General features: G+C 36.5%; 1 protein-coding gene across 9 annotated transcripts in view; it reads right to left on the bottom strand.

Annotated features, from left to right (window-relative positions):
* Nucleotides 1–16,522, bottom strand: part of ANLN (anillin, actin binding protein) — a 63,930-nt gene that overhangs the window by 13,243 nt on the left and 34,165 nt on the right. For 5 of the 9 annotated variants that reach the window (NM_018685.5, XM_017012355.3, NM_001284301.3 and 2 more), the window contains 6 exons: nucleotides 15,956–16,004; nucleotides 15,807–15,863; nucleotides 14,809–14,847; nucleotides 14,513–14,534; nucleotides 13,521–13,633; nucleotides 1,259–1,345 (listed from right to left, as the gene is read on the bottom strand). In NM_018685.5, the coding sequence (NP_061155.2) occupies nucleotides 1,259–1,345; nucleotides 13,521–13,633; nucleotides 14,513–14,534; nucleotides 14,809–14,847; nucleotides 15,807–15,863; nucleotides 15,956–16,004 (367 nt within the window). Of the gene's footprint in view, nucleotides 1–1,258; nucleotides 1,346–12,188; nucleotides 12,243–13,520; nucleotides 13,634–14,512; nucleotides 14,535–14,808; nucleotides 14,848–15,806; nucleotides 15,864–15,955; nucleotides 16,005–16,522 lie in introns of all 9 variants that reach the window. The other 4 variants (XM_006715746.3, XM_017012354.3, XM_006715747.5 and 1 more) reach the window with 1 other exon arrangement.

Raw genomic sequence — 16,522 nt, 5'->3', positions numbered from 1 at the left:
CTACATACCTCTGCAAGCACAACACTCTTCTCTCCTTACTCCTTCACTGCCAAAGTGTTTCCAAGAGTTTCCAAGCTCCTGTGCTCATTCCTCATCTCCCACTCACTCTGGACCCATTTGCAGTCTAGCATCTGCCCTCACCTGCGCCAGAATGATCACCCAATAATAAGTCCAACAGTCCTAACAGAATCTGATCTAACTCAACCACTCCCTCCTTTCAATGTTCTCTTCTATTGACAACCATGATGCTAGATTCTCCGTTTCTCTCCCTGCAGTCTCCTCTGAGGCTTCCCTCCTTCCATCCGTCCTTTCAATGCTGGCACTCCTCCAGTGAGTTGGCTCTGCTTCCCTCACTTGCCCTGGGCTTCCCCATGCTGCAGATATCCACATCTTTACCTCTACTAAATGTCTGTCTTGAGCTCCAAACCCAGAACTTTCACACATGTTTCCAGGCATCTAAAATTCAAATCACGTAAAACTTAACTCATTAAAATTTCCCACATTGGTGGGAACTGACTAGTCTTCTTCGGGTTGTCATTCTCCAATCTGCTTTCCACATTGGTCAGAATGATTTTCTCAATCCCAAGTTGGATAATTTCCTCTGCTTAAAATCCTGTAAGAGTAACTCGCTGACTCTAGGATAAAGTCCAAATTCTTTAAAAGGCCCTTGAACTCTTGCCCCATTTCCCCTAACCACACTTTCCTCCTCATTCCCCACCCACCAATCACATGCATGCCCTCAAACTCTAAGCTCTAGCTATCCTGAAATACCTTCCACTGTCTGCATGTGTCATTCTTCTTTTCTTTGGGTAGGAGTGACAAAGAAGGGCCCTTCAAGCCACTGTACATTCTCCCCCTATCTGGAGCACTTCTCATCTTTCTCTCAGATTAACTTACTCAGTTTAGAAATTACTTCTCTCAGCAGTTCCCTTTATCCCACCCCACACACAGTCAAGACCTGGTGTCCCACCAATTGACACCGATGCACCCTGTTTTCTCCTATTAGAGTATTATATTGTGCTTGTCTGTTCGTTTGTATTTCTCTCTTCTAAACTAAAAACTCATGAGCAGAGGAATTATTTTTTGTGGTCTTTTACATTCCAATGGCAGCACAGTGATTGGCATATAAAGGACATAAAACAAATCTTTACTGAACCAACTTATTACTTAATCACAAAGGATTTCATTCCTATGGGAAACAAGTCTGTATTTCACAAAATGGAAAAAAGGAAGTTAAAGACTAAGTGATGTTACTTACTAGAAAACCTCTTTCTTCAACACTGGAATTCACTTGACATTTTATTTTTAAATAAATATGACCTTCCAAAGAAGATAAAAAGGGGACCTGCAAAGAAAACAGGTAAATTATTTGCAAAACAGGTTCAAAGTGTGATTTTTCTTGATAAATCATGTATAAATCATGAACAGAGACTATTACAACTTGAAAACAGAGCATTTTCTAAAGTTGGAGTATAAAAGACATGGCCAAAAAGCCATTGGTTCCTTACCAACAAATACTTTTGAAGAATAAATTCATTTAAGGTAAAGCTTGACAAAACCAAAAGCCCTAAGTCTCAAGTTAATGTGAGAAAGAAAACAGACGACAATATTTGGGTTTATCTATTCTCCATCAACAGGAGAATATACTCAATAAGAGACTGATAAACCAACCTGTAAATTCACACCACACAATACCACCCAGCAATAAAGAACAATAAACTGCAGATATGGAAAAGCCAGTCCTTGAATTCATATGTAATTGCAAGAGACCCCAAACAACCAAATCAATCTTGAAAATTAAGAACAAAGTTGAAGGAATCATATTTCCCAATTTCAAAACGTAACGCAAAACTTTGGTAATCAAAGCAGTGTGGGCTGGCTGGACATGGTAGTTCACGCCTGTAATCCCAGAACTTTGGAAGGCCAAGGAGTGAGGATCACTCGAACCCAGGAGCTCATGACCAGCCTGGGTAACATAGCGAGACCTCGTCTCTATTAAACATGAAAAAATTAGCCAGGTGTGGTGGCAGATGTCTGTAGTACCAGCTACTTGGAAGGCTGAGGCAGGAGGATCACTTGAGTCCAAAAGTTTAAGGTTGCAGTGAGCTATGATCATGCCACTGCACTCTGGCCTGGGCAAAAGACCAAAACCTTGTCTCAAAGAAACAAAATCAAAAACACCAGTGTGGTGCTGGCATAAGAACAGACATATGGACAAAAGAAATGGAATTGAGAGACCAGACATAAAGCCATACATCTTATGGCCAACTGATTTTTGCCAAGGATGCCAAGACCATTTAAAGCGGAAGAGCAGCCTTTTCAAAAAATGGTGCAGAGAAAATTAGATATCCACACCCACCAAGAGTGATGGTGGACCTTCACCTCATACCATTTATAAAAATTAAACCCAAATGGATAATATCCTAAGTATGAGAGCTAAAATTATAAAACTCTTAGAAAGGCTGGGCGCGGTGGCTCACGCCTGTAATCCCAGCACTTTGGGAGGCTGAGGCGGGTGAATCACCTGAGGTTAGGAGTTCAAGATCAGCCTGGCCTTGAAGGGATTTCACCTTCAACATGGTGAAATCCCATCTGTACTAAAAATACAAAAATTAGCCAGCATGGTGGCACATGCCTGTAATCCCAGCTACTCGGGAGGCTGAGGCAGGAGAATCACTTGAACACAGAGGCAGAGGTTGCAGTGTGCCAAGATTGTGCCATTGCACTCCAGCCTGGGCAGCAAGAGTGAAACTCTCAAAAAAAAATTTTTAAAATAAAATAAAATAAAATAAAACTCTTAGAAAGAAAACATAGAGGTAAAGCTTTGTGATCATGGATTTAGCAATGGATTTTCAGATATGATACCAAAGGCACAAGCAACATGAGGAAAAAATAGATAAATTAGACTTCACCAGAATTAAAAACCTTTCATTACTACAGAGGTTCCACAAAAAAAAAATGAAAAAATAAAACTACCATATAACCCAGCAATCCCACTTCCAGGTATTTATCAAAAGGATTGAAATGGGTTCTTGAAGTGCTATCTGCACTCTCACGTTCATTGCAGCATTATTCACAATAGCTAAGAGATGGAAATAATCTAAGTGCCCATCAATAAATGAAGAGGCCAAAAAAATGCGGTACATACATACAATGAAAAATTCTTTAGCATAGAAAAAGGAGATCCTGTCATATGCTACAACATGAACAAACTTTGAGGACATTATGCTAAATGAAATAAGCTAGTCAGAGAAAGACAAACACTACACGACTCCACTTATCATGAAGTATCTACATTTGACCTTATCCAAAAGGCTGAAAAGCAACATATGAAATCTTTAAAGTAGCCAACCTCATAGAAGCAGAAACTACAGTGGTGGCTGCCAGGGAGTGGGGAGGAGAATATGAGGAGCTGCAGTTCCACGAGTACAGAATTTCAGTCATGCAAAATGAAGAAAATTCTATAGATCTGCTATATAACATAATGCTTATAGTTCACAATAATTCACTGTATACTTAAAAATTTCTTCAAAAGATAAATACCATGTATTATTTACCATAATAAAAAAAATTATAGACCTTTGCACATCAAAGCACTTTATCAAGAAAGTGAAAAGACAGTCTATGGAATGGTTTGAAATATTTGTCAATTATATATCTGATAATATCCAGAATATACAAAGAAAACTCTTACAACTCAGTAACAAAAAGACAACCCAACTAAAACAACTCAGACAAACCAAACTGAAAATTTGGCAAAGGACTTGAATAGACATTTCTTCAAAGATACACATTTTGTCTTCCAATGAGCACATGAAAAGACATTTAACATCAACAGTCATTAGGGAAGTTCAAATCAAACCTACAATGAGGAACCACTTCACACCCACTAGGATGGTTATAATTTAAAAATAAAACGAACAGAAAATAAACAATGGAAAAGATGTAGGAAAATGGGAACCCACATTAATGGTAGAAATATCAAATGGTCTAGATGCTTTGAAAAAGAGTTTAGCAGTTCCTAAAAATAATTATCACATGATCCCACAATTCTGCTCCTATGTATATCCTATGTATACGTACAAAAGAACTGAAAACAGGTACTCAAATCATGCACACACATGTTCAAAGCAGCTCTATTCACAATAGGCAAAATGCGGAAACAGCCCAAATATCTATCAATGAATGAACAGATAAATGAAATGCTGTATATACATATAATAGAATATTATTCAGCCATAAAAAGAAATGAAGTTCTAATACATGCTACATCATGGATGTACTTCCGAAACATTACACTAAGGGAAATAAGCCAGACATAAAAAGTTACATATTGTATGATGATCCCATTTATATGAAATATACAGAATAGATATGTCCATAGAAACCAAATGCAGATTGATGGTTGTCAGGGGCTCGGGGGAGGGAAGATGGGCAAAGACTGCTTAATGAGTAAGACTTTTTACTTTTAGAGACATAAAAATATTTCGAATTAGACAGAGGTATTTTGAACAACATTGTGAATGTACTAAATGCCACTGAATAGTTTACCTTAAAATTGTTACTTTGGTTACATGAATTTCATTTCAATACATTATTTTTTGAAAACAATGAACTACTAACATAAACAGCAGCATGGATAAATCTTTTTTTTTTTTTTTTTTTTTTTTTTTTTTGAGACGGAGTCTCGCTCTGTCGCCCAGGCTGGAGTGCAGTGGCGCGATCTCGGCTCACTGCAAGCTCCGCCTCCCAGGTTCACGCCATTCTCCTGCCTCAGCCTCCCGAGTAGCTGGGACTACAGGCGCCCGCTACCACGCCCGGCTAATTTTTTGTATTTTTAGTAGAGACGGGGTTTCACCGTGTTAGCCAGGATGGTCTCGATCTCCTGACCTCGTGATCCGCCCGCCTCGGCCTCCCAAAGTGCTGGGATTACAGGCGTGAGCCACCGCGCCCGGCCATGGATAAATCTTAAAAACATCACGCTGAGCAAAAGAAATTAGATTCAAAAGAGTACACATTCTTTGATTCCACTTAAATGAAGTTCAAGCCCAGGTATGGCGGCTCACATGTGTAATCCCTGAACTTTGAGAGGCTGAGGCAAGAGGATCGCTTGAGCCCAGGAGTTCAAGACCAGCCTGGGCAACATACTGAGACCCCCCCCCCACCATCTCTATTTTCTTTTTTAAAAGATAAAAATAAAAAATAAAAACAATAAATGAAGCTCAAGAACAAGCAAAACGAATCTAGGGTGAAAACAGAGATGAGAAGAATGGTTGCCTGTAGTGGCTGGGATTGACTAGATGGGAGTGATGGAAATGTCCCTTATCTTGACTAGGTTTTGGTTATATAGGTGTATTCATTTGTTAAAACTCACTGAATGCTACACTTAAGGTGTCTATAATTAACTGAACATAATCTTTTTACAACTATATTGAGTACAATAAATTGAACATATTTAAAGTGTAGGGTTTGATGAATTTTGATATATGTATATTATAACCCATGAAACCTTGACCACAATCATAATAATGAACATTTCCATCACCCTCTAAAGCTCCCTCCCATAATCCTGCCTCCATGTATTCCCATCTCCAGGAAACCAATGATACGCTTTCTGTTGCTATAGGTGATTTTTCATGCATGTCCATTTACACAACAAAAACAAGTGTTTTGTTTTGTTTTGTTTTTGAGACAGAGTCTCATTCTGTTACCCAGGCTGCAGTGGCACAATCTTGGCTCACTGCAACCTCCGCCTCCCAGGTTCAAGCAATTCTCGTGCCTCAGCCTCTCCTGTAATCCTGGGGTTACAGGCATGCACCACTACACCTGGCTAATTTTTGTATTTTTAATAGAGATGGGGTTTCATCATGTTGACCAGGCAGGTCTTGAGCTCCTGACCTCAAGTGATCCAGCCGCCTCGGCCTCCCAAAGTGCTGGGATTACAGGCATGAGCCACTGTGCCTGGCCAAAAAGAAGTATTTTTAAAGAAAAGGAACCTAAACATGTAAGAAAATATTCTTAGCAACTTAGCAGAGGAGCAACCTTGCCATAAGCAACAAATTTTGCAGGGAAAAGGAGAAACCAGTTGAGCCTTCAATGGTTGAGCCCAGGCTGAGGTAGACAGGCATCTCAAGAAGCAGAGGCAGAGCTAGCTCTCCCTACCTGCCAATTCTCCCCAACAGGAATTTTGCTGAGAAGTGATGGTTGAAGACATGTCTAAAAAGCAGAGAGAAATCTTGTAGACGTGCAGTACTTAGATCTCAAAGTTCTGCTCAAAAGTGGGGCCTGAAACCATTCTCAAAGCATTTAAAACAAAACTTGAACCAAATCTATCCATAGCCTAATTTCAGCTGTTTCTGATTACATAAGAGACCAGTCCCTAATCTATACTGTCTGAAAGACAAAAGAACAAGGTATTACCTATTTCAGTCTCTACTGTTCTTTTATAATATAATATCTGGCCTACAGTTAAAAAATTACAAGACATGTGAAAAAGTAGGAAAACACGGAGCTTATCAAGGGGAAAAAAATCCTGTCAATAGCAGATCCACAGATGATCTAAACGTTAGAATTAGAAAACAAAAACATTTATACAACATTAAAATATTTAGATGAAAAGATGGAGAAAAATTAGTGAGAAAATGGAGAACTTCAGCAGAGAAATTGAAACCATAAAAAAAATCCAAATGAAAATTTCAGAACTAAAAAAAAGTCTGAATTTAAAAATGCATTGGCTAGGCTTCAAAGCCTAGATCACATCAAGAAAAAAACAGGTGAACTTGAAGAACTGATAAATAGAAACCATCAAAAATGAAGCACAAAGAAAAAAAGAATTAAATGAAAACCAAAAAGAATGTCACAGACCTGTAGAAAAATAGTCAATAGTCTACATTAACTGGAGTTTCAGAAAGGAGAGAGCAGGGCAGAAGAAATAACTTTAAGAGACAATGGCTGAGTATTTGCTAAGACTTATAAAACAACTAATTACAGATCATAAAGCTCAGTGAAACCAAACAGGATAAATACAAAGAAAACTACACGTAGGCACATTAAAATCAAACCGTTAAAAATGCAAAATAAAAAAACAGAAAAGAATGATGGCTGGCTGACTTCTTATTAGAAACAATTAAAGCCATAAACAATAAATTAACAACTTTAAAGAATTGAAAAGATAAAAACCTGTCAATTTAGCAGTCCCAGTGACAATATCCTTCAGAAATTAAGGCAATATAAAAATATTTCTGGACAAACAAAACCTAGAGATTTCATTTCCAGCAGAACTATATTACAAGAAATAATAAAGACAGTTCTTCTTGACAGGACAATGACTTCAGATGGAATTCTCAATCTACAAGAAGGAAGAACACCAGAAATGGTAAATATAAGGACCAGTTTATAAAAATATAAAAGTTTCTTTTAAAAATTGATTCAAGAGGCTGGGCACAGTAGTTCACAACTGTAACCCCAGCATTTTGGGAGGCAAGGCAGGTGGATGGCTTGAGCCCAGGAGTTCACGGCCAGCCTGGAAAACATAGCAAGACCCCATCTCTTAAAAAAGAAAAAAACTGATTAAAGAAAAAGTAACAACAGTGCATTGTGTGGTTTATAACAAAGAAGTAAAATATACTGGGATGGGAAAATGAACTATACTGTTGTGAGGTTCATATTGTAAGTTACATGAAGCAGTGTAACAGTATTTCAAAATAGACTTTAATAAGGTAAGGATGCATACATTATTTCCTACCAACGCCTTAAAAAACAAAAACAAAAACAGGTAAGTATAGCTAAAAAATCCAAAAGAGGAGATTAAAAAGGATTACCAAAATACTCAATTAATCCAGAAGAAGGCAGGAAAGGGAAAACAAAGCAGTAAAGAACAGACGAAACAAATAGAAAACAAATAACAAAATGGTAGACTACGAGTTGGCAAACGTTTTCTATAACTTACACAGACTGTACATGGCACCATTCAGTCAGGAGAAATGTAAACAAATATAAAGATGCATTTTTTGTGAAATACATTTTGATCTTATATTGAAAATACAGTTTTTATGTGAGTGCAGGATTGCTATAAGAAAGACACACCTATAGACTCTAATATAGGATTAAAGGAAGGTGAAGGATCTTCAACTTGAATATTTAATGCCAGCAAAGGATGGTTTGATAATTTTAGAAAGAGGCTTTAAAAATGTCAAGATACAACAGAAGAAGCAGCTTCTACCAAATGAGACAGGAGATGAGTTCCCAGACACCATTAAGAAAATCAGTGAAGAAAAAGGATATCTGCCTGAACAAGTTTGTTTTTTGTTATTGTTTTCCAAAACAAGGTCTCACTCTGTCACTCAGGCTGAAGTGCAGTGGCGTGATCATAGCTCACTGCAGCCTTGAACTTCTGAACTTCTGGGCTCAAGCAATTCCCCCATCTCAGCCTTCTGAATAGCTAGGGCTACAGGTGTGTACCACCACACCCAGCTAATATTTTTTTATTCTTTGATGAAAAAAAACTGTTTTCATCATCTATGTTGCTCAGGCTGGTATTGAACTTCTGGCTTTAAACGATCCTCCCACTTTGGCCTCCCAAAGTGTTGGGATTGTAGGTATGAGCTACAGTGCCCAACCTGAACAAATTTTTAATTCAGATAAAAGTGCCCTATTCTGGGGGGGAAAAAAGAAAGCCACAAGGGACATTTATTAGCAAGGAAGTGAGAACCAGAATTTAAGGCAGAAGGGATAGGCTAACTCCTGTTTTGTGTAAAGGTAAGTGGGTTTATGATCAGAACTGCCCTTATCTATAAAGCTGCTAACACCCAAGCCTTGAAGGGAAAAGATAAACGCCAACTGCTAGTCTTTTGGTTATACAAGGCCTGGATTGGTTCCATCAATGATTTGTCCCTGAAATCAAGAATAAAATGGTAATATATATATATATATTATATATATATATATATATACACACACACACACACACACACACACACACACACACAAACACACACATATATACACACATATATATATGATAGATAGATAGATAGACAGATATCTAAAGTAACATTGACTTCTGAGTCAAGATAGAAAGGAAGATGGAAGTGTCTGTCATTTCTATTGCCCAGGGAAAAAGAATGGCATCCCAACTGGATTAATCTTAGTTAAGTCTAAATTTGAGTTTTTAGTATAATTAGTTTCCAATGATTTGACCCTCTAACATAGCAAAGATAACTTAAAGGGGGAATTCTAAGACAAAAAGTATAAATTTCAGTAGACTAATTTCATGAGATGAACCTCCAACTGCCCAAATTTGAAACCGATCCACAATGCAGAACCAAAACATCATATGCCTCATCATCCTATTTTGTAAAAATTCCCTTTTTGCTTTTCCTTACAGTGAGTTTTAAGTTCCTTAGGCTCTTTCCTCTCAATGGTATTTAACAGAATTCCATTGTTTAGCACAGAGCATGCTACTGATAACAAAAATCAGAACAATGAGAAGAAAATGTGCCCTCTTACTCTGTAGCTGAGGAAAAGTAGACAATATTTTTGGTTAGAAGCTTGTCCTGATAAAGAAGTAAATTGAAAATATTCACAAAAACGTCAAGTTTACTACCCCTCCCCCTAGTTGAGTGTGGAGGGAGACTTGTGTGAAAATGTATGATCCTATTCTGTTTTGTGTTTAACAAAGGAGTCTTTTAAGACATCCACACTTCAAAGATTATGTTAAGAGCTGTAAAATATAACCTACAACCAGGGAGACTGTGTAATGTGTTATATGCTGGGATATTTTTGAGGGTGAAAGGGGCACCATTAATAATTACACAAGGCCAACAGGTATAAACTGGATAGTTCAGGGCATACCAGAATGCCTAACCATTTTCTTCAATCCCAAAACTGTATAATCCTAATTGGTTGTTTTACTTCAAAATTGTTTGCTCTAATAATATTTAAATTGACATTTCTATTTCCTAAAAGGTATAAATACCTATGAGGTTCCTTTAAGTCAGAAGAGGAACTTTGGGACATCCTTCTCCCTTTATCTATAATAGTATAATAAAACTATGACTGTTTTGGATTCCCTATTCAAAGAAAGGGTTTGAAAGTCTGACTCACTAAGATTTGTAATTTAAATTCCAGGATGCCAGGCTTTAAATCAGATCTGAATAGCCTCAAATAAAATGGAAATCCACTGACAGTGGTGTCCTAAATCCGCAGAGCAAACCAACTGGATTAACCTCAACAGAAATTCCACTCTGGAAGGACCTCACAGATAACCTCTGTGATTGTTGTATTACTGGTCAAGGCACCAGTAAAATAAACCAAGACTGCGTTGTACTGACAGTATCTGACAAGGCAGGAAAGACATGTATACTCTTTCAGTGACAATTAAATAGGATTATTACATGAGTGTAGAAGGCCTTAAATTTTTCCCACCAACTTCAAGACCATTCAAACTTAACTATTTTAGATATTCTCCTACATCAAACCCAGGCAATTGGAACAAATATTTGCTTCCCCTCCTCACTCAGAAAAGCACAAAATTTGTTCCAGATTTTACTTCTAAATCGTACTGTATCTGACTGAGAAGGAGTCTCAAGAGTAAAAGACACAACAAATTAAACTGAGTGGTTTGATTTTGCACTCAATCATGTGGTTGGCTATTTAAGTTATAAATTCAAAGGAGTTAAGTGAATGGGAATATAATTTAATTTTAATTTGTAAATGTGACATTTTGATTCAAAATGGCAGCCAAAAAAAGTTTTTAAAAGAACAGTCTATATTTAAGATATGTCATTGAAATCTCTTTCATTTTAGAGATTAATGAAATCTCTTACATATGTAGAAACTGGCTATGTGACAATACTGAGTAAAAAACACAGTTCGTAAAATCCCAATTCTTATGGTTATCTAATTTGCAAATCCTATTTTAAGAATTTAAAATAAAATAAAAAATACCATCCAGCATTTTGTTAATTAGCATCTCTTTAACCAAGAGAATGTTTGTAACTGACCTTTACAAAAATATTAAAAATCTTTAGATGGGCGCAGTGGCTCACTCCTGTAATCCCAGCACTTTGTGAGACCAAGGCGAGCAGATCGCCTGAGGTTGGGAGTTCAAGACTAGCCTGGGTAACATGGTGAAACCCTGTCTCTACTAAAAATACAAAAATTATCTGGGCATGGTGGTGCACGCCTGTAATCCCAGCTACTCAGGAGGCTGAGGCATGAGAATTGCTTGAACCTGGGAGATGGAGGCTGTAGTGAGCCGAGATCGTGCCACTGCACTCCAGCTTGGGTGACAGAGTGAGACTCTATCTCAAAACAAAAAAAAAACTTTAAAAAGTCTTCCAAAATATATTATTATATTCAGTATAATTTCAGTGCTAAATGTATTATAATTTCAAAATTAACAAGCAAAGGGTCATCTATCTAGCAATATACCTATTAGCCAATTAAGACCATAAAAATTTTCTACTTTTGGCCAGGCACAGTGTTCACACCTGTAATCCCAGCACTTTGGGAGGCCAAGGAGGGCTGATCACTTGAGGTCAGGAGCACGAGACCAGCCTGGCCAATATGGTGAAACCCTGCCTCTACTAAAAATACAAAAACTAGCCAGATGTGGTTGCATGCACCTGTAGTCCCAGCTACTTGGGACGCTGAGGCAGGAGAATCGCTTGAACCCAGGAGGCAGAGGTTGCAGTGAGCCACGATCACGCCACTGCACTCCAGCCTGGGTGACAGAGCAAAACTCCGTCTCAAAAAAAAAAAAAAAAAAAATCTGCTTTTATTTAAAACATCACCAATAGCTCTTCCAGTATACAGGTCAAAAATATTGAATAATTTTTAGTTTTAAATATAGTTACTAATTGGTATTCTAATTGTACCTAGAAAAATCAATATTGATGTGAATATAGGATTATAATGAACTATAAGAGAGAAGAAAGAATATGGAAAAAGACCCAAACACCAAACATGCATTGAAAAAATAGAAAACTTTCAAAGAAGGTTTTAAAGTATTGAGAGTGGAGAAAAAGACACCCATCTATAAGAGTCTCATGATAGAATAATGTACATAATGTCCTTAATTATTCAAAGTAAACAAAAAGATAGTTAGTAAAACAAATATATGTAGATCAAAAATTAAGGATTGATTTTTAAGCTCATTAATTTCAAGCAAAGAAAATAATGGCAACCTTTTCCTGGAACAAATAGCCCAGTAGCTCTCGCTCTCTTACATCATAATTTATCTAAAACAGACAAAATAAGAGACAGAGAAAAAAAGACCCAGGATCACTCAACTGGTTAAAGTAGCTGAATTACTAAATAAAAAGTTACAAAAATTTTTAAAATTAACTTGTTAAAACACATTCATGCATTAATAGTAATCAAAACTTCAAATACAGTCTGCTTTTTGTCCATCAACTAAAAGAAAGCATTTCATAGAATTTTAGATTGTTTCAGGCTAAACTAATATTTCTGTACTGGAAAACAAGACCCTAGAGAGATGAGGTGACTTTGCTCAATGTTAAAGAGTAAATCACTAAGGGTAAATACTAGAAACCAGGGCTTCTAATTTTTACACTTCTTCATCTCTATATTCGCACTACAGAAATCTCACATGATAATATAAATTATCACTGTATTATATAGAAGTCAACCCAAGAAATAAAATTTGCCTCTAGTTGTCTTACTCCTTAAAATAGTCTTGGTGAAAAAAAGACTCAATAGTGATGTTAACACAGATCTGATTTTTGAAGCTTCTAATATGAAAGGGAAGTATGAGAAGGAAATCTCTTAGATTCGTAAGTACTTTTCTAAGAGGTTAATCTACCTTTCACTGTCTTGTCAAAACTAAATTCATAAAATATTGTTCATTTCAAAATATAGGTTCAAATAGGCTGGCCGGGCAAGGTGGCTCACACCTATAATCCCAGCACTTTGGGAGGCCAAGGCAGACAGATGGCCAGAGCCCAGGAGTTCGAGACCAGCCTAGCCAACACGATGAAACCCCATCTCTACAAAACAATAGTAAAAATTAGCCAGGCGTGGCATCACGTGCCTGTAGTCCCAGCTACTTGGAAGGCTAAGGTGGGAGCCCGCGAGGCTGAGGCTTCAGTGAGCCATGCACTCCAACCTAGGTGACAGAGTGAGACCCTGTCTCAAAAACAAAAAAACAAAAAAACAAAAAAAACCACAAAGAAATGGAAATAGGCAAGATATTATGTTTTAAAATTATAAACTTAACATCTAAATGCAGGAAGTAATACTTCTTTAGTCAGAAGTGATACTTAGAATAAGCAAGCATCCACTGAAGTTCTAACTATTAAAAGGGAGACATACTTCCAAGACAAAAAAAAAAAAAAACATTTAGGTACACTCATACCTAGCAAAAATGTGCAATTCTAAGAACATATGTTTTCAGTCGAAGATTTCAAATACCTAAAAGCATTGTGGCATTTCCATTGAGCTAATTTTTCTAAGATTAAAAAAAAAACACCACACCCTTAGAAATAAAGTTGGATTACCTTGTCCAGAACAAACTTAGTATTTCCTACTGAAGACAATGATAATGTGTAAGATCCAACAAGGGCGAAGTTGCTGGTTCGCACAGCACTAAGACCTCCTGGACTGGCCATGACTGTGAAGAACGAGGAAATTAAGTTTAGTTCAGAATGACTTTTGTTAAGTATAAGTAACAATTCCTCACCCCATCCCAGTAGAAGAAAATTAAGCTGCCACAGAGAAAAAAAAACTGCCTCATTTTCCTTCATCTTTAAATGTGGGGGGAAAAATCAACTTATTTCCTAATGAAAGAGGTACAAGCACTCCTTAATAATTGGGATGGATGTGTTTTTAAAGATATAGACCTAAAAATGTATGCATAAAAAGCAACTTCCCGATAAAAAACATGGAAAAGACTTCAGTGCTAGTTATAATGCAGGGTGACAAAATCAGCAGCAGAAACTATCTCTGTACAGGTCTCTTAGTAACTCTCTTGCACCACAGAGAAGAAAGAGACCAATAGCCTAAAGGAAGTGAGTGAAACCAGCTCCATCCTAATTCCTTTTGGAAAAAGATAGGCCTAAAGTCATTCTAAAGAAGGCCTTTCCTGGCTTAACAGCATTCCAGTTCCCAGTGAACTAGAAAGATGCATTTCTGACATGATACAACGCCAGTTATGATCAGTAAAGCTAAAAGAAGTAAAATCTGCAGTATGGAAAGCACAAAACAAATCTATAGAACAATAGAAGTTGAAGTAAAGAGTAATGCCACCTGCTGCTAGAGCTGAATAACATGATGACTGGTGCCTCTATGGTGGTACCTAACAAAGGTGCAACCAAACTGCATCCTACTCTGGCCAGTAATCCTGTTACTAAGAAACTCACATAGAAAATATTATTCCAAAGGAGATCAAGGTAAACATTCACAAATCAAGATGGCCTATATATATGTAAATATGCAAGTGCTTAATTCCTTACCTTATTCTAAAGTTTCAAATAGTTCAAGATACACTCACCTGAAGAATGAATGTTGCTTTTCTAAAAAAAAAAAAAAAGGTGTGAAGAAGAAACATAAGTTATTTCCCTTATTTAATACAAAGATTTAAATATGAATCACTCATCTCTTTTAACACAATAAGAAATACATTTCAGAAAACACTTTTCCTACATAAATTACAGGGATATCCCCCCATTAGTACATGTTAAAATTTTCCACAGTGCTCAAGGTTCAGAAATGGTTAACCAATTTAAAACTGTATGGGTAAGATGAAGATTTCTCAAGGAAGCTCAATTTCTCAAAAATTCTACTTACTGTGGTTATAGATGTGAGGAGTCGCTTTGGAGTAATAGCCTAAAAGAAAAGATAGCTTACTATATATATTTCTTATTAAACATTATGTCTCAGAAAGTAAAACTATCCAACCTTGAGAAATTCCTACATAGAAAATAATTAATTCTTAGCCGGGAGCAGTGGCTCACGCCTGTAATCCCATCACTTTGGGAGGCTGAGGCGGGCGGATCATGAGGTCAAGAGATTGAGACCACCCTTGCTAACATGGTGAAACCCCCTCTCTGCTAAAAATACAAAAAATTAGTCAGATGTGGTGGCACACACCTGTAGTCCCAGCTTCACAGGAGGCTGAGGCAGGAGAATCGCTTGAACCTGGGAGGTGGAGGTTGCAGTGGGCTGAGATCACGCCACTGCACTCCAGTCTGGGCAACAGAGCGAGACTCCGTCTCAAAAAAAAAAAAAAAAAAAGAATGAGTTCTTAAATATGAATACATTACACATGAGTCCTTGAGTAATTAATTCTTAAATATGAAAACATTACACTTGAGTCCCTGATTAAGGCTTTCTTATACTGTTAGTCCTTTTTTGTTAGAGCTAAAAAAAAAAAGTTTTTAAAATGATGACTTAAGAAAAGAACACAGACTGGGAAGGCTGGAAAGCAACCTTATGCCTGCAAAGTGACCACATAATTATTAAGTACTGGTATAGAGAACACAGAGAGAAGAGGGCTCAGGGAAAAGTCTTGAGAAAAGTTTTAAGCAGTTATAAAAGTTGCCAAGTAAATGTAGAGAAAATAGAATTATCTAGCCCGAGTGTATCAGGAACTTATACTGACAATCATGATCACTCACAGTTTATTTTCAGTATTCATACCTATTTAACATAGTAACTACAAATTGGAACATGAAACTGATCCAAAAACTTCCTAATCATTAAAAGTTGTACATAAATTAAAACTGGTATGATGATATCTATTACTTCTGATGAAAATATTTTTACTGGGTTTCTTTAATTCTCACCTTGGACTTGGATGTTTTTTTCTTCTTATCAAGGCCTGAGGGATCTTTCTTTTGCACCTACGCACAAACCCAAAGCATAATTAATTTATAATCTGATATTGTTAAGAAAAATATACTCTTCATTATTTTAGAAGGCTTTATCAGCTTACCAAGCTGTAAACTTCAATATTTATTTCAAAGTCATTGGATACATCTTGCCTGGAAAAATAAAGCATTAAGTAAAACCTTGAGAGAAAACCTCAATCACACCATTAAAAATGATGCTACAAATACTCTTACAAGACTCTAAGTAAAGGAATCCACTATGACTTTAAAGTCAATAAAAATTGTTAAGAAGTCTATTTTTTCCCTATAATGCAAGTCCAAAATATTTTCCTCCGTGTTTTACAACTCACAATCTTCAATAATAAAAGTAGTAATTATTTTTCAAACTGCACTTTGACTCTTATTTAAAAATAAATGTTTCACTAAATATAAACGTATTTTCATTAAGACTGAATGTTAAGTACATTATGAGATTTAAGGCATATGTTAAAAATCTATGGTCCAGGTTTAATGTATATATCATTTCAAAATATGTAATACCTACAGTCATGTGGAAAAAAGGTGCTATTCAACAAAAGGAAGGATAGAAACATATGAGTTAAAGCAACAAATTGAAAGATGGGTTATTTGTCAATATAAAAAGAATGTGCATAAGGCGTTTCAAAGATTAT

Source organism: Homo sapiens, chromosome 7 (assembly GCF_000001405.40).
Source record: "Homo sapiens chromosome 7, GRCh38.p14 Primary Assembly".
Lineage (NCBI taxonomy): Eukaryota > Metazoa > Chordata > Mammalia > Primates > Hominidae > Homo > Homo sapiens.
This window is presented reverse-complemented; position numbering and strand designations above follow the sequence as displayed.